The sequence below is a fragment of the Homo sapiens genome, chromosome 3 (genome assembly GCF_000001405.40).
Source record: "Homo sapiens chromosome 3, GRCh38.p14 Primary Assembly".
NCBI lineage: Eukaryota > Metazoa > Chordata > Mammalia > Primates > Hominidae > Homo > Homo sapiens.
The window spans coordinates 60,927,341-60,951,074 of NC_000003.12; the positions used below are offsets into that span (position 1 = coordinate 60,927,341).

The window sequence follows — 23,734 nt, forward strand, 5'->3', positions numbered from 1 at the left end:
CACCTCCCAGCCGCCTGCCTTGGCCTCCCAAAGTGCTGAGATTGCAGCCTCTGCCCCGCCGCCACCCTGTCTAGGAAGTGAGGAGCATCTCTGCCCAGCCGCCAATCATCTGGGATGTGAGGAGCCCCTCTGCCTGGCCACCCAGTCTGGGAAGTGAGGAGCACCTCTTCCTGGCCTTCACCCCGTGTAGGAAGTGAGGAGCGTCTCTGCCTGGCCGCCCATCATCTGGGATGTGGGGAGCGCCTCTGCCCGGCCGCCCCGTCTGGGATGTGAGGAGCGCCTCTGCCCGGCCGCCCTGTCTGGGAGGTGAGGAGTGTCTCTGCCTGGCCGCCACCCCGTCTGGGAGGTGGGGAGCACCCCCGCCCGGCAGCCGCCCCGTCTGTGAGGTGGGCGTGCCCCCACCCGGCAGCCGCCCCGCCTGGGAGGTGAGGAGCCCCTCTGCCCGGCCGCCAATCCATCTGGGAGGTGTACCCACCAGCTCATTGAGAACAGGCCATGACGATGATGGCGGTTTTGCTGAATAGAAAAGGGGGAAATGTGGGGAAAAGAAAGAGAGATCAGATTGTTACTGTGTCTGTGTAGAAAGAAGTAGACATAGGAGACTCCATTTCGTTTTGTACTAAGAAAAATTCTTCTGCCTTGGGATGCTGTTAATCTATAACATTACTCCCAACCCAGTGCTCTCTGAAACATGTGCTGTGTCAACTCAGGGTTAAATGGATTAAGGGAAGTGCAAGATGTGCTTTATTAAACAGATGCTTGAAGGCAGTATGCTCGTTAAGAGTCATCACCACTCCCTAATCTCAAGTACCCAGGGACACAAACACTGCAGAAGGCCACAGGGTCCTCTGCCTAGGAAAACCAGAGACCTTTGTTCACATGTTTATCTGCTGACCTTCTCTCCACTATTGTCCTATGACCCTGCGAAATCCCCCTCTCTGAGAAACACCCAAGAATGATCAACAAATACTAAAAAAATTAAAAAAAAAAAAAAGAAAAGTTCAAATAAAGTGTATGAAAGAACTTTAAAAAAAAAAAAGAAAAAAAAAGTGCGAAAATTAGCCAGGCATGGTGGAGTATGCCTTGGGGTCCCAGCTACTCAGGAGGCTGAGGCTAGAAGATCACTTGAGCCTGGGAGGCAGAGGCTGCAGCAAGCCATGATTGTGCTACTGCACTCCAGCCTAGGTGACAGATGGAGACTCTGTCTCTAAATAAATAAATAAATAAATAAATAAATCCTATTTTTAAATGCTAAAAAAAAAAAAGAAAATCTAGAAGAAATGGATAAATTCCTCGACACATACACCCTCCCAAGACTAAACCAGGAAGAAGTTGAATCTCTGAATAGACCAATAACAGGCTCTGAAATTGAGGCAACAATTAATAGCTTACCAACCAAAAAAATCCAGGACCAGATGGATTCACAGCCGAATTCTACCAGAAGTGCAAGGAGGAGCTGGTACCATTCCTTCTGAAACTATTCCAATCAATAGAAAAAGAGGGAATCCTCCCTAACTCATTTTATGAGGCCAGCATCATCCTGATACCAAAGCCTGGCAGAGACACAACAAAAAAAGACAATTTTAGACCAATATCCCTGATGAACATCGATGCAGAAATCCTCAATAAAATACTGGCAAACCGAATCCAGCAGCACATCAAAAAGCTTATCCACCATGATCAAGTTGGCTTCATTCCTGGGATGCAAGGCTGGTTCAACATACGCAAATCAATAAACGTAATCCAACATATAAACAGAACCAACGACAAAACCACATGATTATCTCAATAGATGCAGAAAAGACCTTTGACAAAATTCAACCCTTCATGCTAAAAACTCTCAATAAATGAGGTATTGATGGGACATATCTCAAAATAATAAGAGCTATCTATGACAAACCCACAGCCAATATCATACTGAATGGGCAAAAACTGGAAGCACTCCCTTTGAAAACTGGCACAAGACAGGGATGCCCTCTCTCACCACTCCTATTCAACATAGTGTTGGAAGTTATGGCCAGGGCAATTAGGCAGGAGAAGGAAGTAAAGGGCATTCAATTAGGAAAAGAGGAAATCCAATTGTCCCTGTTCGCAGATGACATGATTGTGTATCTAGAAAACCCCATCATCTCAGCCCAAAATCTCCTTAAGCTGATAGGCAACTTCAGCAAAGTCTCAGGATACAAAATCAATGTGCAAAAATCACAAGCATTCTTATATACCAATAAAAGACAAACAGAGCGCCAAATCATGAGTGAACTCCCATTCACAATTGCTTCAAAGAGAATAAAATACCTAGGAATCCAACTTACAAGGGATGTGAAGGACCTCTTCAAGGAGAACTACAAACCACTACTTAATGAAATAAAAGACGATACAAACAAATGGAAGAACATTCCATGCTCATGGGTAGGAAGAATCAATATTGTGAAAATGGCCATACTGCCCAAGGCAATTTATAGATTCAACGCCATCCCCATCAAGCTACCAATGACTTCCTTCACAGAATTGGAAAAAACTACCTTAAAGTTCACATGGAACCAAAAAAGAGCCTGCATTGCCAAGTCAATCCTAAGCCAAAAGAACAAAGCTGGAGGCATCATGCTACCTGACTTCAAACTATACTACACAAGGCTACAGTAATCAAAACAGCATGGTACTGGTACCAAAACAGAGATATTGACCAATGGAACAGAACAGAGCCCTCAGAAATAATGCCGCATATCTACAACTATCTGATCTTTGACAAACCTGAGAAAAACAAGCAGTGGGGAAAGGATTCCCTATTTAATAAATGGTGCTGGGGAAACCTGGCTAGCCATATGTAGAAAGCTGAAACTGGATCCCTTCCTTATACCTTATACAAAAATTAATTCAAGATGGATTAAAGACTTAAATGTTAGACCTAAAACCATAAAAACCCTAGAAGAAAACCTAGGCAATACCATTTAGGACATAGGCATGGGCAAGGACTTCATGTCTAAAACACCAAAAGCAATGGTAACAAAAGACAAAATTGACAAATGGGATCTAATTAAAATAAAGAGCTTTTGCACAGCAAAAGAAACTACCATCAGAGTGAACAGGCAACCTACAGAATGGGAGAAAATTTTTGCAATCTACTCATCTGACAAAGGACTAATATCCAGAATCTACAAAGAATCAAACAGATTTACAAGAAAAAACAAACAACCCCATCAAAAAGTGGGTGAAGGATATGAACAGACACTTCTCAAAGGAAGACATTTATGAAGCCAAAAGACACATGAAAAAATGCTGATCATCACTGGCCATCAGAGACATGCAAATCAAAACCACAATGAGATACCATCTCACACCAGTTAGAATGGCGATCATTAAAAAGTCAGGAAACAACAGGTGCTGGAGAGGATGTGGAGAAATAGGAACACTTTTACACTGTTGGTGGGACTGTAAACTAGTTCAACCATTGTGGAAGTCAGTGTGGTGATTCCTCAAGGATCTAGAACTAGAAATACCATTTGACCCAGCCATCCCATTACTGGGTATATACCCAAAGATTATGAATCATGCTGCTATAAAGACACATGCACACGTGTGTTTATTGCGGCACTATTTACAATAGCAAAGACTTGGAACCGACCCAAATGTCCAACAATGATAGACTGGATTAAGAAAATGTGGCACATATACACCATGGAATACTATGCAGCCATAAAAATTGATGAGTTCATGTCCTTTGTAGGGACATGGATGAAGCTGGAAACCATCATTCTCAGCAAACTATCGCAAGGAGAAAAAACCAAACACTGCATGTTGTCACTCATAGCTGGGAATTGAACAATGAGAACACATGGACACAGGAAGGGGAACATCAAACACCGGGGCCTGTTGTGGGGTGGGGGGAGTGGGGAGGGATAGCGTTAGGAGATATACCTAATGCTAAATGATGAGTTAATGGGTGCAGCACACCAACATGGCACATGTATACATATGTAACAAACCTGCACGTTGTGCACATGTACCCTAAAACTTACAGTATAATTTAAAAAAATAATAAAAATAAAACATATTCACATATTTACGTATTCATGTATTTAAAATATATTCATTTATTTTACACTATGTGCAACTCATTTTTCTACTTAAGAATTAGAGAGATGACATTTCGGAGGCCCCTAATTCCAAATGCTGCCGCCTGTTTTTAGTACAGATCTGTGTTAAGCAAAGGAAAATGAAGCGGTCAAATCGCCTCAGAAGCTTCCGGCTTCCACCCCTGTTTGTAAACGAAACTCCATATTAGTCAAACTACACTCCCCAGGGAGCACCTGTAAAAGTCCCTGATTTACAGAAGTATTTACTTTAGGGTATGGAGTTTGTTTTTTCAGGTTTATCTCTGGGAGAGCTTGGTGAAGCTGACAGTCCAGCAATTTTATTAAACTGTTCAATTTCAGCATTTTTTAAAGAGCATATATAAAGAACACCGGCAGTAGCTATTTAAATTTCCCAGTGGATGCTAGAAATAATAAAAGGACACTTAAATGACCATTTTTGAGCAGAGCCAACAGCATGTGTCCTAATTATCCAACTATGTGAAAAATTCTGTGGATTTTTACCAGAGCACAAGGGTGTGATATGCACAATTCAGAACACTAACGGCTACCTCACTAGGGTGTAGAGAACTTTTCAAGTCTAAATATAAGGTCCCAGTCTGCCAGGGTAAGTTTTTCTGCTACTTTCCCTCTTGATGAACTTGTTAGACATGATAAATGGACAACATGGTAAGAAGTTGATATGGTCCACTGATAAGCCTCTGATGAAGAACAAGTAAATAAAAAACCATTGTGCTAAGTGCTCTCCTTCATTTATTCTCACGATCACATTCTGAGGTAGGTATTACTATGCACATTTTACAGGTCAGGAAAGCAAAGCTCACACAGGATAAGTGCCTTATCCTACAGTTTAAGTATCCAAGCTGGTGTTCTGATTTTCCTCCACTCACCTCTTCCTATCTCTTCTCCACCCACCTCTTCCTATCTCTTCTCCACCCTTCTCTGCCCTGCTGGTGGTCTCTTCCTTACTGATCTCTACAGACTCATCTCCCGTGCCCTTTGGTTTCTATAGGGCTAAGACAATGGCAGGCAGCATTAAGGGATCAGAGAATTGGAGGAAAGAGTCTGGGGGTATCTATTCCCCATTTCCTCTCTCCTCCCCTCACACTGCACAACTGAGACTTTTGACAAGTGCCCACATTTTTCTAGCTTTGACTATAATTTCTGTCAGTGGCCCTTTTTCCCTAATTCCTAGCTAGGGCTCTCATTGGATTCTTGTAATTCTGTTCTCTGTCTTTGCTCCTTCAGACTTTCCATAGTTGCTTCACCATCTTTTTTGGTTCCCTTAAATCTACCCACACCTCTGTCAATCTTCTGTTCATTAAACTCTCTTCCAACCTCTCAGTTTTGGTGTCATCCACTTTCTGCTGGAGAAAGGAGGGTAGCCCCTAGCAGTTGGTACCTCCTCCTCTCTAGCTTCCCTTTCATCTACCCACAACCAACCACTCACCCTTCCCTTGTAGCCAGTCACACCACAAGCAAGTCTGTGACTCAGCAAACTGGCTCCCAGAAACAAACCCTAGGAGCATAATTGAAGATGAACCCAAAGATACAGTTATAAGTATGCTCGTGGAGAATTTGTAATTTTTTAAAAAATGGTAGTTATCTAAGAGGACTTGATTAATCAATGAAGGGACATTCATAAAATGAAAAATTATAAATGATTAAAAATAATACCATAACTTATATTTCATGACATGAACATATTCTCAATATATTAACTTCAAAAGGGAAGATACAAAGTTGTGTGTAGAATAACTCAGTTTTTCTTTGTAAAAATTTTGTATACATGGGGAGAAAATGGTCCAAAAGAGACCATCCAATAGAAATACAGTACAAGGCACATAAGTAATTTTAGTGTCAGTAGTTACGTTTTAAAAAGTTAAAAGAAACCAGTGAAATTCATTTAGTGATATATTTTAGTCCAACATATGCAAAATAATATTTAATCATGTAAGCAACAGAAATTAATAATGTGATATATTGAATTCTTCTTTTGCATATGAAGTCTTAGAACTCCGGTGTGTAGTTGACACTCAGAGCACATGTCAACTCAGTCTTGCTACATTTTAAAAGCTCAAGAGCCACATGAGGATAGTGACTACCAGATTGGACAGCTCAGGTAAGCCTCAAAAGCGGGTGTGTAGAGTAGGAAGTTGAATGTTCTTCACTTTCTTATTATTTTTCTCCTTTTTTACCATTACCATTTACTACTGATGCATGTCACCTCTGCAATTAGAAAAACAAATTATTTTTAAACACTAAGAGCAAGGCTTTTTTCTTCTGTCTCTGGAACACTTTTTGGCTCATGTCCTTTGCAATTCACAGACTACACACTTACTAGTATAGAAAGGTGCCCTCCTTTCTTCCCCTCCCTTTACATTTTCTTTGGATAGCTACCTATCTTCAGCCCTCAGGCATAAGAGTAAGAATCAAATGTTGATTTTCTTCAGAGTGGCTGCTGAGCCAGCTCCCACTCTCCAGTGGTGTGACCCGGAATCTATCAGGCCTCACACCACTGTTTTAGCAGCTCTGAATGGCTTGTGGAAGGGCATGGAATGGGGCCAGAAACTGCTTAATTTGAGGTTAATTAAATAGTGATGACAAGCCTTAATCTCCAACTTGTCATCAGATTGTAAACACTGATTGCAGCTGCAGCAATCTGCAATAAACCTATTGAGAGGAATCTTGACCAGAATGAAATAAGTACGTTGGTTACCCAGATGAGGCTGGGAGAGGTGAGATCAGAGAAATCTAGGCTTTTGCAGTACCAGGAGAAATGGAGACCTGAAAAGAGGGAAATTCATGGGCGAATGTGTCAATTCTGATTCCTGTACAGCCCTATCAAAAAAAAGAAAAAAAGAAAAGAAAAAATAACTGGATCCCATGCACCTGGAAATTGGAAAGAACAAGGGCAGAAATATAAAACCACTAAACTAAGGACCTGGAAAAAGCTGAAATAGCTTTACATCTATTAGCCATTGATGAGGTTTCCATGAAAAAATATGTCTGAGCCACTGCATGCCCTGAGGCCGCTGGACAGATGGTTATACCACCAGAGTGAGCTACAGCAGTGGCTTTCTAGAGTGCAGGCAAGGATGACAGTTACAGTGTGTTAGGTCTCTACTGTGTCTCAAGCACATCACATGTAACGTATATGATAATTCTCAAAAGTACTTTATGAGGTAGCTATTATTTTCTCCATTTTAAAGAGGAGAATGCTAAATCTCAAAGGAGTATCCTACCTTGCTTAAGTACATGTAACAAATGGGTTGAACCCAGACTGTCTAATGCCCTAATGCAAATTCTAAATCACAAGAATCTCTGCCTCCAGCTTTGAGGCAATGTTGAAGTGGGAAAGGGGAAAGAATAGTCAAGTTCCTGAAGAAGATGGGAAAAAATGAGTCAAAAATCTCCAAAGAATAGGGAAGCACAAAGGGCTGAGGTAACAAATGCCAGATGAGTAAACATGTTCATAACACTGCACCCCGGAAAGTGCCCCTCCTGGCTCCATTTTCATGGAGAATGCTTTCTCATTCTTCAAGATCCAGCACAAGGCCAATTTTCACCTCTTCTGTGAAGCCTTCCCCAAACCTCCTAGTGAGAGAGGCACTTTAAAAAAATATGTGAGATGCATTGAGAGACAGATGGACACCATAAAAGCTGAACTCAATATTACATGTGAAGAAAATTTACAAAAAAATCTTAATCTGAGTGTCAGAAAAATTGGAGTAGTGAAAGAACCATTACAGTTATTGTCAAATAGTTAATTAACTATTATGTAGGTTTAAATCCATGTATTCTTCCTTAAAACCTTTTGGAACAAGATAAATCATTCTCATCCATTCATTTATTCATTCCCTAGCACTGTGATAACACTAGAGAAATAACAATGACCAAAAACAGACACAATTCCACTCTCGAGGTACACATGTTTAAAAGGGAAAACAGAGTAATGATACAAAAATCACACAAATAAATGGACAATTATGACATGTGTTCCAAATAAGAGGTAAATGAGATGTTATTATTTTATCCAGGATACAGGACTGGAATCATTAAAGAGAATACACAGGGAAATAAGCTGCAGTTCATTATTTGGAAAAAGTTTCAAACAATCCACACAGAAATGGCCCCACACATGAGCCTGCTCTCTTCTGGGCATTGGATGTGTCCCGGCTGAGGCAGGGAAGACAAGGGTGCATCCGTCGATAACTTCTCAAGTCTCTTCTGACTCTAAGAAACTGTGACCCTATCATTCCAAACAAAATATTTTCTCAGATAAGAATTAGAATTGGCTAGGTTGAATTTCCAGGAGACTTAGGAAATATGTACAGAGAATAATCACTTCCTAAATAGAGAGGGGAGTCAAGCAAAACTGAGTCTTCTAAACTGCTCGGTAGCATTCTCCTTCTCTTCGCACATGGACACACTTCTGCTTTATGCACTGCCCTGACAGCTTCCTGAGGACAGAGGCTGATGGTCTTGCTCATCACTGAATCATCAATGCGTGGCACATATTAAATATTTGTTAAGTGAGTAAATGAATATGGTACTAAAATGTGCATACTGACAGAAACTTTTTTCTGTTGTGGCCCTTGTAGGTGAACTTCCTTGAATAATTAATGAACATGAAAGTCAGTCAATCACTCACCTCCTGATTAATAGTCAGGGTCCCTTGTCCAAACAGCCACTTAGTCCATTAAAAATTAATAATTTTCTACAGAATAAATATATGCTGTACATGGTACATCAAGGGTTCCACTTTTAATACGCAATTAAGTAATGCAGAAAGACTAGGAATCTATTAACTAAGAAAGAGCTCCATGAACTTGCCCTCCAAGTCATCATTCATTTACTATCCATTTCTCTTCCAATTTTAAAAAATTATTTAGCCAGAAAAAAAGTAGTTCTGAAAACAGAGTAAATAACAACATGTTGTCATATTTTGGCTAACATTTGCAGGCCGACACAATGTGTGTTTGTTAAAGATTTGAGATATGCTATTCCTTCTGTGAAATGACGAATACATTAGGGCAGATCAATACAAAACTGAAGCTCTATATGTAAAATGTTAAGGGTCTATTCATTGAAAAATTATGAGCCATGTTATAGAACTTAGGTCAGAGTTAAATTATTGATCTACATTCATTTTTCCCCTTTCCATGTGACTATCTTTTGATTTTTTATAACATACATTATTGCCTATGTAGAAAATGAATCCTCTTCTTCTAGAGCTAGTGTGTCTGGTGACTGACAATTTTCTAAAATTAACTGTTGTGTTGGTAGCATTTAGATTTGTAAATTGAACTCCCCTTGCATAAACATTTAAACATTGAAAATAAAATCTGTAAACTTTGGTAGCATGAACTCAAAGGGAAAAGAGGATAATTTTCATTTTTTAATACAAAGAAAGCAAAGAAAAAAAGGAAAGGTTATTTTTCTTAACATCATTCTACTACTTTATGGTTCTTGATACATTTCATTGATGAGGCCAAATTGTATTCAGTTGACTTTTTACAAATGACTAAACTGTATTGCTAAGCAAAGGGATGTAATCAACACTTTGTGAGCTGAAGTCTCAATTTTCAGACCTAAAGCTTACTCAAGATGTATAACCTCAAATTCTGTAAGCAGGTTAGATGTCTTGAAATACAAAGACTCTCATCCCCTATCAGCCCCCAAAGTGACAAAGGAATGTGTCTTCAATGAAGATTTTCTCTCATCTGCTGAAAAGGGAAAATGTGCAAATATTTCAAAGAAATGTAGATTCCACAGACCCACATTAATTCATGAAAAAGGAAGCTAATGTAAGAGTTCTTAGTAGGAATGATCTTTGATTTGGGGCTGTATTTGGTCAGTAACTTTTGCCTACTAGGAGAATATTTTCTCTTTAACGAAGTAGTATCAGACACAGAGGGCTCTTCATTTTCTCTAATGGAGATACAATCATTTAGATTCGTGCTCCAAATGAGGCAGAAATTACCCCTAATGTGTAGTTTGAACATTTGTATCAAAATACAGTGAAATGCTGTTTCAGAGTCTGATGAGAAAAATATGTGAGCTCACAGAATGTCTGCCTCTCTCAGGTGCAGAAGTGGTCTACTGCTTTTTTTTTCTTTTTTCTTTTCTTTTCTTTTTTTTTTTTTTGAGATGGAGTCTCACTCTGTCACCCAGGCTGGAGTGCAATGGTGAGGTCTCCGCTCACTGCAACCTCCACCTCCTAGGTTCAAGCAATTCTCCTGCCTCAGCCTCCTGAGTAGCTGGGATTACAGGTGCACGCCATCATGCCCAGCTAATTTTTGTATTTTTAGTAGAGATGGGGTTTCACCACATTGTTCAGGCTGGTCTTCAACTCCTGACCTTGTGATCCGCCTGCCTTAGCCTCCCAAAGTGCTGGGATTACAGGGGTGAGCCACCACGCCCGGCCCTCTGCTACTTTTCTTCACATTGTCACTGCAGGAATCACCTGGCTCTAGGGGGATATCCCACAGTCTCACATAAATACCAATCCCTGTCGCTGGAACAAGGGGGTCCCAGCCTCACAGAAGGCCTGAGGGACTCTGTTTCTCTACAGGTCAGCTCCAAAGCAGAGGGCCCTTTGCACCATAAATCAATGTCATCCACAGAAAACTCCAGGAGAAAGTTAAATACCAGCAGCAAACAATGTCTCTTGTGTAGCAGTCTCTCACCACTGTTTCTGCTAGGTGACAAAAGCAGTGAGAAAAGCAGAGGAAGCAAGGGCTGAAGACAGAAAAGTCAAAGAATTGCAGAACTTGAGAGTTGGAAAGGGGCAGAGTCCAAATAGGAAAAGACTTAAGCTTCCTACTGTGTTGTGCTATGTAGAATGCTGTATGAGGAAGGGCAGCAGGCTTTCTCCCCAGAAGCCCAGCTGAAAGTCATCCACACTTTACATGGTCCCCTATACCAGGCTTCAGCCCCCTTGGCCTTGGTTTTCTCAACACACAGTATGGAATCCATTTCTCATGAGATGGACTTCATTAAACACACTCATGAGACCAACATATAAAACCAGAATGTCAAAGTAGTAGTCTACGATTTGCAGTATAGCTGTTGCACAGATGTCAGAAAGACCAATACATTCATTCCCTTCCTGTAAATGTCTTCCCTGCAAAACCAAATCCTAATCAGGCAGCAATCTGACATGTAAGGAATCTGAACAAGAGGAGTTCATCTGATGAACTGAATGTTAAACAGCGTCAGGGGAGATGGAGTCACCAATGGGAAAGAATACCCAATGTCCCTTGGCTGCAGCTCTCTACATCCATTGCCGTAACAGAAATGGCCTTGCCAATAGAAAAACAATTCTCCAAGTTTCTCACAGGAGGTCCCGTCCCCTCCAAAGAGAGCTACATGTGTATTCTTTGTGTATTTTTATCATTGAGAAACATAATTTGAATGGGAAAGCCTTTCTTTCGTTCTAAAAACCCTGCATCATTTTTCTCATTGCAGGTTAAAATATGTTCATTGTAAATAATGAACATACGGAAAAGGGTAAAAGTTATTCTATTTCTTCCGCCCAGAAAACTATAGGTGGATAATCTTTCAGTCTGTTTCTATGTATACATCTTAGGTTGTCCATATAAAATTATCATTTTGCAGATAAAAAGCAGTCAATTAGGTGCAATTCTACATGGTCCAATCTCATATACATACGCACATTACATTAAAGTCAAATGACACCTTAACTTCTACTTTGTTGCTTTTCTTTGAATTAACTAGGGCTCATATACAGTTTTCCATGTTACTCGGTAATACCATAATTGATTCTCTTGCACGCACTTGTTTACCAAAACTTCTCATTATTTCCTTAGGGAATATTCACAGACATAGAAGTGCTTGGTTAAAGGATTTGCACACACACCCATTCATGCATATACTGTCTAAGGTTGCTCTCATCATTAACAGCAGAGTTGAGTAGTTGTGACCATACTACCAAAAAACCTGCAATATTTACCCTTTAGTCCTTTACAGAAAAAGGTTGCCAACCCTGACCTAGAATCCATAATTAACTAGATACAGAATCCAGACATCCATTCAACAATAGGACACAGACTTCCTATTTTTAAAAAATTCACCGTGACTACAAGCAGATCTGCATTTAAAATATTTTATTCCCATTAGTATTTTTAATTGGTCCAAATGCTCTATGTGATATAACTTCACTATCATTAGAATAGTATTAAAGAATACTATTAGAAAAATGTAGCTCCATTATTTTTACTACAGAAATTATTATAACCGAAGACATAAATGCGAACCAAATAAAACAAAATAAGTTGTAAAAATTCCTTTCTTCAACAATTGCATAATAATCTATAATACACATAGATATACATGTTCTTAAATATTTCATGTAAAAATTGGTTACTATTTAATAATTAATTTTAGAAACATTAAAAGAAATTTAACTTCTGGGTCTTTGATTTGAAACAGCTAAGAATTTTAGACTGGTTTCCATTTTTAATCATGATCAAGACTCAGAAACGTAGCTAAGAAAAATCATATTGTACTTTTTATTGAAAAGGAATCACACAGACCATGTCTGAATTATTATAAAGGCTTCATTAATTAGATTTTAATCTACATGACTATACCATATGCTAAAAAACCATCCAAACAAACTCTATGAAACGGTTTTACTGCTATTACTTAAAGAGCCATTTAAAAGAATTTCTACGGGATAAAGACTGGGTGATTTATCATAGTTTTATGCTCCTTTAATCTGCTCCATCTTCCCATTGTAAAATAAATATTGGTTTTAAAATAAATGGTTCTGCCCAGGTTTTGATGAGAAAAATTGCCCTGTAAATCACAAGCTCACGTGTGCCAAACTCTAAGTCCAATGTTAACTAGCCTATTCTGAAGAAAAATAAGTCAATTTTATAGAACAAAATCTAAAGAAGACAATTACTTAAGTGTATTTTCAAAGCTGCAATGTAATTAATCTGAGATATGAGCTTCTGTACCCCAAGTTTTTTAATTCTCAAAATAAGAACTAGTGGATATCAAACTGGTCCTCCAACTGGATTTTTTAAAAATGGGTTCTGTACTATAGTTTTTATTATATTCTTTCCGAATCCAATATACAAGTTATGTAACTGAAAATAAATACAATGAGGGTTATATGATAATGTCTGAGGGTTATATGATGACATCTTTATCAATCACTTTTTTCATACACAGAGAGCCAAATCAATTTAATAGTCAGGTTCTTAGAATATTTCATAGTGTTCTGAAAAATTGACCTTACAGTATACATATTTTCCTATAATAAGCATAGTGGTTAAAATGCTCTGGAAGTTATGAATGGTTTAAAGCAGTGCTTCACAAACTATTTAGGATGTAAAACTAGTTGACTATATTTTTCACTCCAATATGTTGTGGGTTGGTGATACTTTTATAAAATACAATAAAAATTGCACTTGGATTTAGTGGTAGTGTCAAACTGCTATGACAGTCTCTAAACCAGCACTGTCCAACAGAAATATCATAGGAGCCACATGTCTGATTTTAAGCTTTCTAGTAGCCACATTAAAAATGTAAAAAGAAACAGTTGAAATTAATTTTAATAATATTTTATGTAGTCCAATAGATCCACAACCTTATTTCAATATGTAATCAGTATACAAATATAATGGAGATATTTAACTTTTTAAAAAAATTAAGTCATCAAAATCCAGCATGTATATTCCACTTACAGCATGTCCCCATTCAGACTGGCCACATTTCAAGTACTCAACAGTCACATGTAGCTAGTGGCTGTTGTGTGGGAAAGTGCCATTTTAAACCATTACTCCCAAACTCTGCACCTCCCTCTTCATGAACTGGTCCACATACAACACTTTGAGTAGTACTGTCTAAACTACTGCTCCCTTAAAAATGGCACCTTCATTTCTCTTCTATAATTTTCTACTCTGTGTTTTAAATTGAGGGCTCCATTCCAGATAAGTCCAACACTTAAAGAAATTAACAAACTCATGATTGCAGCTAACTTTATACATCCTTTCAGGAAAGGAATTTGCATTTATAAGGGATGGATACGGAGGTCCCCTCTGCTCTCCCTTCTCTAGAAGCAATCACTATTCTGAATGATATTGGTTTCTTTCTTTCCTATCCATGTTTTTATACTTTTTCTACTGACTATGTTCTTAGGATTTAAATAAAGCAAAGAGAAAATTTGTTTGCACATTGCTGAGATATATGAATTTAATGCGTTTAGCTCATACAAATCCTGACCATATTCCATGGCAACCACTGAAACCGAATCACACACCTTTCTACGTTTGCACCCTCTGATCCCCTATTCGTCCTTCATACCACACTGCTTTGATATATCATTTTCTTTCTGCTCTGTATTTAGACTCTGTTCCACCTTCTAGCCTGGATAATTTCTACCCATTGAGATCAAAGCTTAAATATCACTTCTTCAAGTAACCTTTGTTGATCTGCCCTTTGCCCTGGTAAAATTAGGTTCCCTGTCAAACACTCTCACTTTTCCTATACTGCACTTACCAAAATTGTAAATAGTTTCTGTTGTTGTTGTTGTTTTTGAGATGGAGTCTTGCACTGTCGCCCAGGGTGGTACAATGGCACAATTGGCTCGCTGCAACCTCCACCTCCTGGATTCAGGCAATTCTCCTGCCTCAGCCTCCCGAGTAGCTGGATTATAGGTGCCCACAGCCATGCCTGGCTAATTTTTGTATTTTTTAGTAGAGACAAGGTTTCACCATGTTGGCCAGGCTGAAGTAGTTATTTTTTTTACTGATTTGTTTAATGTCTCTCTCATTCATAAAAATATGTTAGCACCAGCATAATTAAAAGTATACAGTAGGTATCCACAAATATTAATTGAGTGAATGAATGAATTTTCATTCTCAGAAGCCAGACTTAACCTGGTCATTATGTTTCTCAATCTCTAGTCATGACACTAGCTTACAATGTGTATATCATGGATATATATACATAGGGTATCCCTGTTAATTAGAAGGTATATTTTCAAGAGTATGGCCATAAAGAAGTTATTCATGGTATATTCTTTTGACCTTCTATTTTCAATTGTCTCTATATTTAGCTCCCATTTTTCATTTCTAATACTGTTTGTATTTCTCTCTCTCTCTCTCTCTTTGTTCTTCTCTCTTTGTAGTTGATCAAGTTTGACAAGTGAGAATGTGCTGTTTTAGTCTTTAAAATAATCATTTTTTGCTCGGTTGATCTTCTCTACTGTTTCTTTGTATTCTATTTCATTTTTGGTAATATTTTTGTATTATTCCTTCCCTCTACTGTATTTGGGTTTACTCTGCTATTTTATTTATACCTTTTTAATTGAATCCTTAATTCCCTAACAATGTCTCCTTCCGTTTCTAACGTATACATTTATGAGTCTATAAATTTCCCTCTATATACCTCTTTGTGTCCCACAAGACTTAAAGTATGTACTAATTTCTATCATCATTTTTCTTTGACTCACAAATTATTGACAGGTACAGTTTTGAGTTTCCAAATGTATAAAGTTTTGAAAAGTATCAGTTTCTAATCTCCTGCTTTTTTCCTCTGAAATAAAGAATTAGTAAATATAATTTTTATTCATCAGCATTAAGACTTTCTATGTGTGTATATTATCTGTTAGTGGAGTTTGAAGTTCTATATATGTCTATTTGTCCAAGCTAACCGGTTATGTGGTTTAAATATTCTTTATCTTTTCTAAGCTTCTTAGCTTGTTTGATTTATCAGTGTCTGAGAGAAAAATGGTTAAAACTCTCAGATTATGATTATATGGGTTTTCAATACTTCTTGGTGACTGTGTCAATTTTTACTTTCTATATTTTTAAAAGGATGCTACTAGGTAATGTAGGCTCAGGATTAACTCTTCCTGGTGAATTGTTCTTTTATCATTAAATAATAACTCTTTATCTGTAATAATATTTTTGCTTTTAAAGTATATTTTGTCCGATATTAATAGTGTCACCAGCTTTCATTTGAATGATATTTATATGATGTATTATGTCAATTTCATCTATTTTCTCTTAATCTTCCCATGCTATTATCCTTAATTGGGTTGTTCCTTGTAAACAGTTAAAGAGAGTATAGCTGTTCTCTCTATCCAACTTAAGAATCTTTGCCTGCAGACAGATAGGTTTAATCATTTGTATATTGGCTTTGATTACTGATTATTTGGCCTCATTTCAACTAATTAATCTACAGCTTCCTAAAAGTCAGTAATTATGGCCTCTCACTGAACCAAGTACTGCATACCATAGCAAGCATTGCTGTATCTATCTTACACTCATAATTTAGCTGTTCTCAATAAATAATTTAGACACATTGGCAAATAATATTCTCTTAAAGCTTCAAGCTCATAAGTACTTATATATATAACACAGAAAATCCCCAACTAAGATGGCTAATCCACTACTACTCTTATTTCTTTACCTATAACATGAAAATAAGTGAATCCACTTGTCATCTACCTCCAATGTTGCTGTACTTTCCTCTTCAACCTCCTCATTTTTAAAAATTTCTATCGGGAACAGCTCTCATTCTGTCTCTTCTACCTTTCTTCTTCCCTATCCCAGTCTCTCACCTGTTACCTTGACAATTGAATTAGTATCTTTTCTCTCCCTGCCTTCATCCTACCACCTAACAATCCAATGTTTCCTCCAGTTAAATGAGGGTCGCATAGTATAAGTTAAGAAATTTGAACTTTACCCTACAGCTCAGTGTTTCTCAAACTGAACCCAAAGGCACAGTATCATAGCTCCAAACATTCTATGAGAATATGCTTTAGGTTTTTATGGTTTTATTCCAATTAATGTCCTGAAGAATCTAAATGACAACCTGATAATTGAGCTATGCTTTCCAAAAGCAGTGCCTGAGTTTGTCTTTTTTTTTTCCTCCATCAACTCTGTTCTGTTCTCAGTATCACTGGAACCAAACAATCACTTTAAATGACAGCTTTTAACTTTCAGTGTGTCAGTGAGCACATCTGGCTGCTAGGTTGGCATGTCCTAATGCTAAAATTGTCCCATGTCTGCTATTGTGCTCTTCTTGAAGATAATTTGCAATGGAAAGATAGTGTCATGGAATAAGACTTTAATTTATTAAGTTATTTAATTAATGGAGACTTTGATATGACATCATAAAAACTCATAGTGTGGCAGAGTAATGGTCTATTTTAATTGTTATGGGCTAATGAGAAAAGAACAAAGGCAGAATTAACATGTAAATGATGCGTTTATATCAAATGAAAGCCAAATGATATTATGGGACAGTGCAAAAGGAAGTTTCCCAATTTTTCAAATAGAGAAAAGTGGTGAGAAAATTGAGTCATCATGTGGCTCTGAGTAGTAGAGGCATGCCAAATTAAGAGTCTTTGCCATAGTAGTCAGCACACTTTATTGATGAAACATTAATTTATCAAATATATGTTAAATACTTCATCAATAAACAGTGAGTGTTAAACACTGTTCTAGGCACTAAGGATACAGAAGTCATAAGATAGTCAACTCTCCAGTGTCACGGAAGTTATATTCTGACAATAAAAAGATGAACATGAATTTATAATACAACATCAGGGAGTCGTAAGTCTTGTGAAGGAAAACGAAGCAGGGCAAAGAGATGGAGGATGATGAGGGAGGAGGAAAGCTACAGTAGGCAAGATGATCAAGGGAGGATTCTCTGAGAAGATGACATTTGAGCAGACACCTAAGTGCAACAGGAGGCAAAGGCATACAAATATCTCGGGGAGAAGATTTCCAAACAAAAGCAAGAGCAAATACAAAGATGTTGAGAAGAACAGCAAGAAAACCAATGTCAACAGACTGCAGGGAGAAAGGAGAGTGGTATGAGACTAGGTAAAAAGAAGAGGGCTGAATCTTGAAGAGCCTTGAGGTCATAGCAAAAAGCCTGAATTTAATTCTAAGGATGATGGGGAGTTACTACAGGTTTTTTGTTTTGCTTTGATAGAGTCTCGCTCTGTCACCCACACTGGAGTGCAGTGGTACAATCTTGGCTCACTGCAACCTCTGCCTCCTGGGTTCGAGTGATTCTCCAGCCTCAGCCACCTGAGTAGCTGGGATTACAGGCATCCATCACCATGCCCCGCTTATTTTTTGTATATTTAGTAGAGGCAGGGTTTTGCCATGTTGGCCAAGCTGGTCTCAAACTCCTGACATCAAGTGATCCACCCGCCTCAGCCTCCCTATTACAGGGTTTATACAGTTCATGCAGAATACCAGAAAGGGAGATGGGGACTGTGGGGATGGATACAGGTAGGCTTGTAGATTTGCTAGAGAAAATAAGGTAGTTTCTTCTGATTGTTTCTCTTTCTCCAGTGAAATAAGAAGTGAGACAATCAACTGATTGAGAGAGCTGGGGATGGCCATTGGAGAGTTGAGGTACAGGTGAAGATATAAAATAGTTTTCTCAGAAAGTAGAAGTATTAGGTAAACAATGCAGGATCACCGTGTAGAACAGAGGATCCACTGCAGTCAGCATAGTTGTGTGTCCTCCATCCATCCACACTCAGGCCCAAAGTAGGTGGAAAGCTGAATGAGGGTCATAGTTTTGCCAGATAAGAATGACAGAGAAAGATGAGCAAAGGAGTTCAGTGTGCATGTAAAGAAGAGAAGAACCATAGCATCTGAGCTGAGCAAGGAGGAAAGTGAGGATACAGGAGGATGACGGATTGTACATAAATCCTGTAAGTCAACAGATTGGAGGCCCCACAGGATCAAAGAACTGTTGGAGTAGAGATGCTAATGTCACCTGAGGCAGCAGCCCTGAAAAGATAGGAAGTGGTGGTCAGAGAGTGGGATGCTGTGAAACATACTTTGAAGGTTAGCATGGCATTTCATAACAAGGGCACTATTGGCATTTGGGGAAAACAATTCTTCATCGTGCATAACAGTCTCATGTACTGAATGACATTTAGCATCCTTAACTTCTGCCCTCTAAATACCAGTAGCACTCCTTACATTTGCAATTACTCCCTAGGAGAGTGGTACTTCCTAGATTGTGAACCATTGGCCTGGGGTATGACTATGAGGTAGGGAGAGATATTTGCAAGTGAGAAACTCAGGGACCTGATAGACCAGGTATGAGTATTCTCTGTGGATGTTTTTACTGAGAATGATGAGTATAAAGACAGGGCGCTGGGGGGAACGTCTTCAATAAATACAGAGGAGTAGGCTGTAGAAGAGTTTTATGGCATGTGCTTTAAAAGCCTCTGCGGAGGAAGAGAAAAGGAACTGTCTAGAAGTGACAATGAACAATACCAGAAGACACCAACTCCACTGTCAGACACTGAGAAAAAAACAGACACCCCTGGAGAGGGTGATGGGGAAGCCTCCTTAAGAGTTTGCCAAGAGTATCAAGCAGCTATCCAAAAGAACTTTCTGTGATGATGGCAATGTTGATATCTACGCCATCCTATAAGATAGACAATAGGCACATGTACTTCTTAGCCCTTGAAACGAGGCCAGTGTGTCTGAGGATGTGAATTTTTTACTTTGATTTGAACGAATTTAAATGTAAACAGTCAGATGTGGCTACTGGCTAACAAATTGGATGGGGCAGAACAGTAAAAGGTGAAGGAAGCATTCAGAAGACAAAATTCTTCTTAATCTCTGAGTCTTGAGGAAAAGGGCAAGGGCAGGTATGAGTCTAGGGAAGTTTGTACATTTGTAGCAGGAAGAGGTGAGGAGCATCTAATAGCACAATAGCATCAGCATTTCCAATAAGCAGGATTCCAAAAATTCATTTTAATTTATTTCAGCCTCCTCTCAGACTAAATTCTATACCATATTGTTGTGGAAGACCCTTAAAAAAAACCCTCAAATATTTAAAATATCACCATCATGTAAGAATTATTTCTTCTCCTAAGAAGCATCTGGTATTAATAGACTATGACTATCGCGTGTTTTCTAAGATCTAAGTGTCCCTTCCCTCCAAAGACTGGCTATCTATATCTAACAAAGGAAAATGTAACATTTGAAAATTCCCTGTTAAAAGATTTTGTTGTCATTTGGAAATCATATTTCTTGCTGTTTGCATTTCTATTAAAAATATAAAGAAATTTGTTCTTTGGTATCCCAAATGAAGTAAAAGTATTCTAATTGGTTGCATTCACAAGTCTACAATTTGCGGCTTAACAAAATTATTTTTGAAAAGGTCATAACCTGTACCCACATGCCCACCCAACCACACACACAGACATCCAGAATGGTCTTGTGATCATGTCTTCAGAAGTTTGGCTGCAAAGTTACAAGCAACAACTGTCCATCTGCACCCACCAACCTAGTGAACAATGCCAGTCTGGGACCCAAGGACTATTTACTCAACAGAAGAATTCCAACTTCAGGCAGGGGATAGGCGAAGTCCAGATAACATCTAGATATTTCTTGACATTGCATTTGATTGGAAATAAAGGAAAAGTAAAGCATTTCTGGTTAGTTTCTGTTTCTTAGTGTCTCTAGTTCCCATTTTATTTCAATCAAAATATCAAAATACTCTTTAGCCCATAGAGGGGACAGAGTTCCTAGTTTAATAAACCCTAAAATATATAATTAAGATAAAGCCTCTGTAGGGTTACTCAGCACAACACTATAATTGCTCAGATTCCCTAGTGGATTCTCCAGTCAATTTCTCTGCATCCTTGAGGCAAAATCTTTTCCTTAATTGTCCTCACTTAGACCAGGTGCTAGGTGTCCTTCCTAGCCTGCAGGTCTTACAGGCCCATTCATCCCTAAGGGGGTCTTATATATTAACCTTGCTTCTGAACTCTAAGCACTGGCAAGTCAGGCAGAAGGCCCAAAGGACCTAACAGCCCATAGGTAACTACAATGTTGGTAAGGTGGATTCTGCCAGATGCCAGCCTTGGATCCATTTTGGGTCCCTACAGATTTATGCTTCTACTATAATGAATTTCATAATTTCTAGTATGTGACCCAGGGTTGAACTAAGAAGTTATTCTTGCTTTCCCCTTTAGTTTTCCCTAATGGGACTTTGATCAACATGAAAACTAAAAATATCCTGGTGCTAGACCATTAACACTAGTTAACTATTCCAGACTGTGGCCACTGTCAAAGACAGCCATCTTGTAATTGAATTCCACTGGGGACAAGAAGACTCAAAACAGAGTAGGTGAATGGATTGCTTAAAGTCCATCTCAGCTACTAAGGAGAATGAAGAGCAGCAGAAACTGAATTATTAATTCCCAACTCTATTCACAAGCCCCCTCTGGTGGAGGAAGTATTAGTAATGAAACAGCTATAACAATAACCAAAATTTTTTTAAAAGAGAAAAGGCAATCCACAACAAAACAATCAGCCCCTGCAGAAATGAGAGTCAAGTGTAGTGATTAGCAAATATGAGCTGCAACCTGAAAACCACTTACAGATGAAGCAGTATGATGAATGATTTACCAAAAGGTCAACACCGCTCTTTTGTCTTCATCACCCATCAGTTTTCCATCGCCCTCAATTTGTCTGGCACATAACAGAAAGCAGGGCATAAAATATTCCCCATAAAAATTAACCTTACTTTGCAACATTAAAAAAAAAAACTTATAGTTGTATATAGTTGAAGCGTAGGGGCCAGCTTCTCAATTAGTACTCCTAGCATACAGTAGAAAAAGCGTTGACACTTAAAGCCCTATTACAAGAGGTAATGTTCTTAGCAAGTTCCGGAACTCTCTGCCCTATTCTTGCCTTGCTGACCCACTATTCTCAAGCGAAGGAAGGGGTCAGTAATCCCCCTACCAAATACCACACCAATGGTGGCAGGAGGGGAGCATGTGACAGCATTTCCCCTTTTACTCTCCTGGAGGCCAAACTTCTTTGCAATCTCTGCTTTTAGCTAGCGTGGATGCCAGCCTTTCAACCTTGCTATGCCTGCAATACTTTCTGACAGATGAGCTATGAGATGTACCACCTTCCCACTCCCATTTGACAACCTTTGTACAAAAAGAAACACAACGCCAAGGGAAAGTATATTTTTAGGCATGAGGGATTCTGAAAATGAACATATCTGCAAACTTCTAGATCCCCTTAACCAGACCTGAAAAAGACATTAATCTATTTTAACTAAACTGATTAAATTGATTTAATCAGAAAGCGGGTCACTTCCCTCCTCCCTATCCTGTCGCTGAATTTACTAATTGTTTCTCCGGCTTTGCCCAATCAATAAGATATTTTGCATCTTGCAGATATAATGTAAGTTATCAGTTATTAAAAATTCCTCTTCCCGGTCTCTGGTTAAAGTGGGTACCTAAATATCTGCTTATTTATTTACGTCGTTGTTATTTGCAGATTTCTTTTTTAAAAAAAGCAGAATTAAAATGAAAGAAAAGGTCAAAAGAGTTTGGAAAAAAAGCTATCTACAGGGATGTTCATCACTGCATCATTTATAATAGTAAAACTTGGAAATCTTAAATTTCCAAGCAAAAGAAGACTGTTCAAATTAATTATGGTATAGCCATAAAGTGGAATACAGTCATGCATCACATAATGAAGTTTTGATCAATGACAGACCACATATATGATATCGATCCCATAAGATTATAATGGAGCTAAAAAATTCCTACTGCTTAGTGACGTTGTAGTTGTCATAAAGTCATTGTGCATGCATTACCTTTTCTATGTTTAGATATGCAACTACTTACCTTTGTGTTACAGTTGCCTATAGTATTCAGTAAAGTGATGCTCACAAGAGTATGAAATTGTCTAATGACACAGTTTTCATTAAGTGAGGCATGACTACACTATGCAGACATTGAAAATTAAGTGGTGGAATATTTAATAACAAAAAAAGATTTGTGGTACTATTAAGGGGGGAAACACATTGCAAAACAGTAGATACTGTAATATCATATTTATTGAGAGCTGTTATCTTTGTATACCATTGGTTTGACAAACATTCATTGGTCAGCCATCTTCCATTCATAACCTCTTCTCTCCAGCATTCCTTGCACTTGGGAATTGTTCTATAAAATAAAATATTAAAGAAGAAGGCTGCTAGGTAGGGCTTTTTTTTCTTTTTTTTTTTTTGAGACGGAGTCTTGCTTTGTCACCCAGGCTGGAGTGGAGATGGAGTCTGACTCTGTCGCCCAGGCTGGACTGCAGTGGCACGATCTTGGCTCATTGCAACCTCCGCCTCCTGGGTTCAAGTGATTCTCCTGCCTCAGTCTCCCAAGTAGCTGGGATTACAGGCACGCACCACCACACCTGGCTAATTTTTTTTTTTTTATTTTTAGTACAGATGGGGTTTCACCATGTTGGCCAGGCTGGTCTCGAACTCCTGACCTCAAGTGATCCACCCGCCTCGGCCTTCCAAAGTGCTGAGATTACAGGCGTGAGCCACCATGCCCGGCCTAGGTAGGGCTTTTCTTCTTGTCTGATTAAAAGGAGCGGATTTATCTAACAGGTCTCTTTTTGTATTTATCCTTTATCTTTCCAATCTAAACATAACGTCTGGAGGAACAGCAGCTTCATTGTGACCATGAAGACAAAAAAATAACACGCTAAGAACAGTAGAAGAGAAATGCCAAAACATCAGCTCTAGATTATCCTCTAAAGACTTGGAGAAAGTCACTATTGGTTGGATTTTCTTTATTTTGCAGCTGA

At 38.5% G+C, this 23,734-nt stretch overlaps 1 protein-coding gene across 8 annotated transcripts in view, besides 1 other annotated feature; it reads right to left on the bottom strand.

The window, feature by feature from the left end:
* Window positions 1–23,734, bottom strand: part of FHIT (fragile histidine triad diadenosine triphosphatase) — a 1,504,176-nt gene that overhangs the window by 1,180,064 nt on the left and 300,378 nt on the right. The gene's annotated exons all lie outside the window — the stretch shown is intronic.
* Window positions 8,006–9,205: an enhancer, noted in NCBI's record as "P300/CBP strongly-dependent group 1 enhancer chr3:60921018-60922217 (GRCh37/hg19 assembly coordinates)". NCBI's record gives its function as "activates an origin of replication core promoter dependent on BRD2, BRD4, P300/CBP, MED14 and CDK7 cofactors, with strong dependence on P300/CBP, by STARR-seq in HCT116 cells {active_cell/tissue: HCT116}" and the evidence as "EXISTENCE:reporter gene assay evidence [ECO:0000049][PMID:35650434]".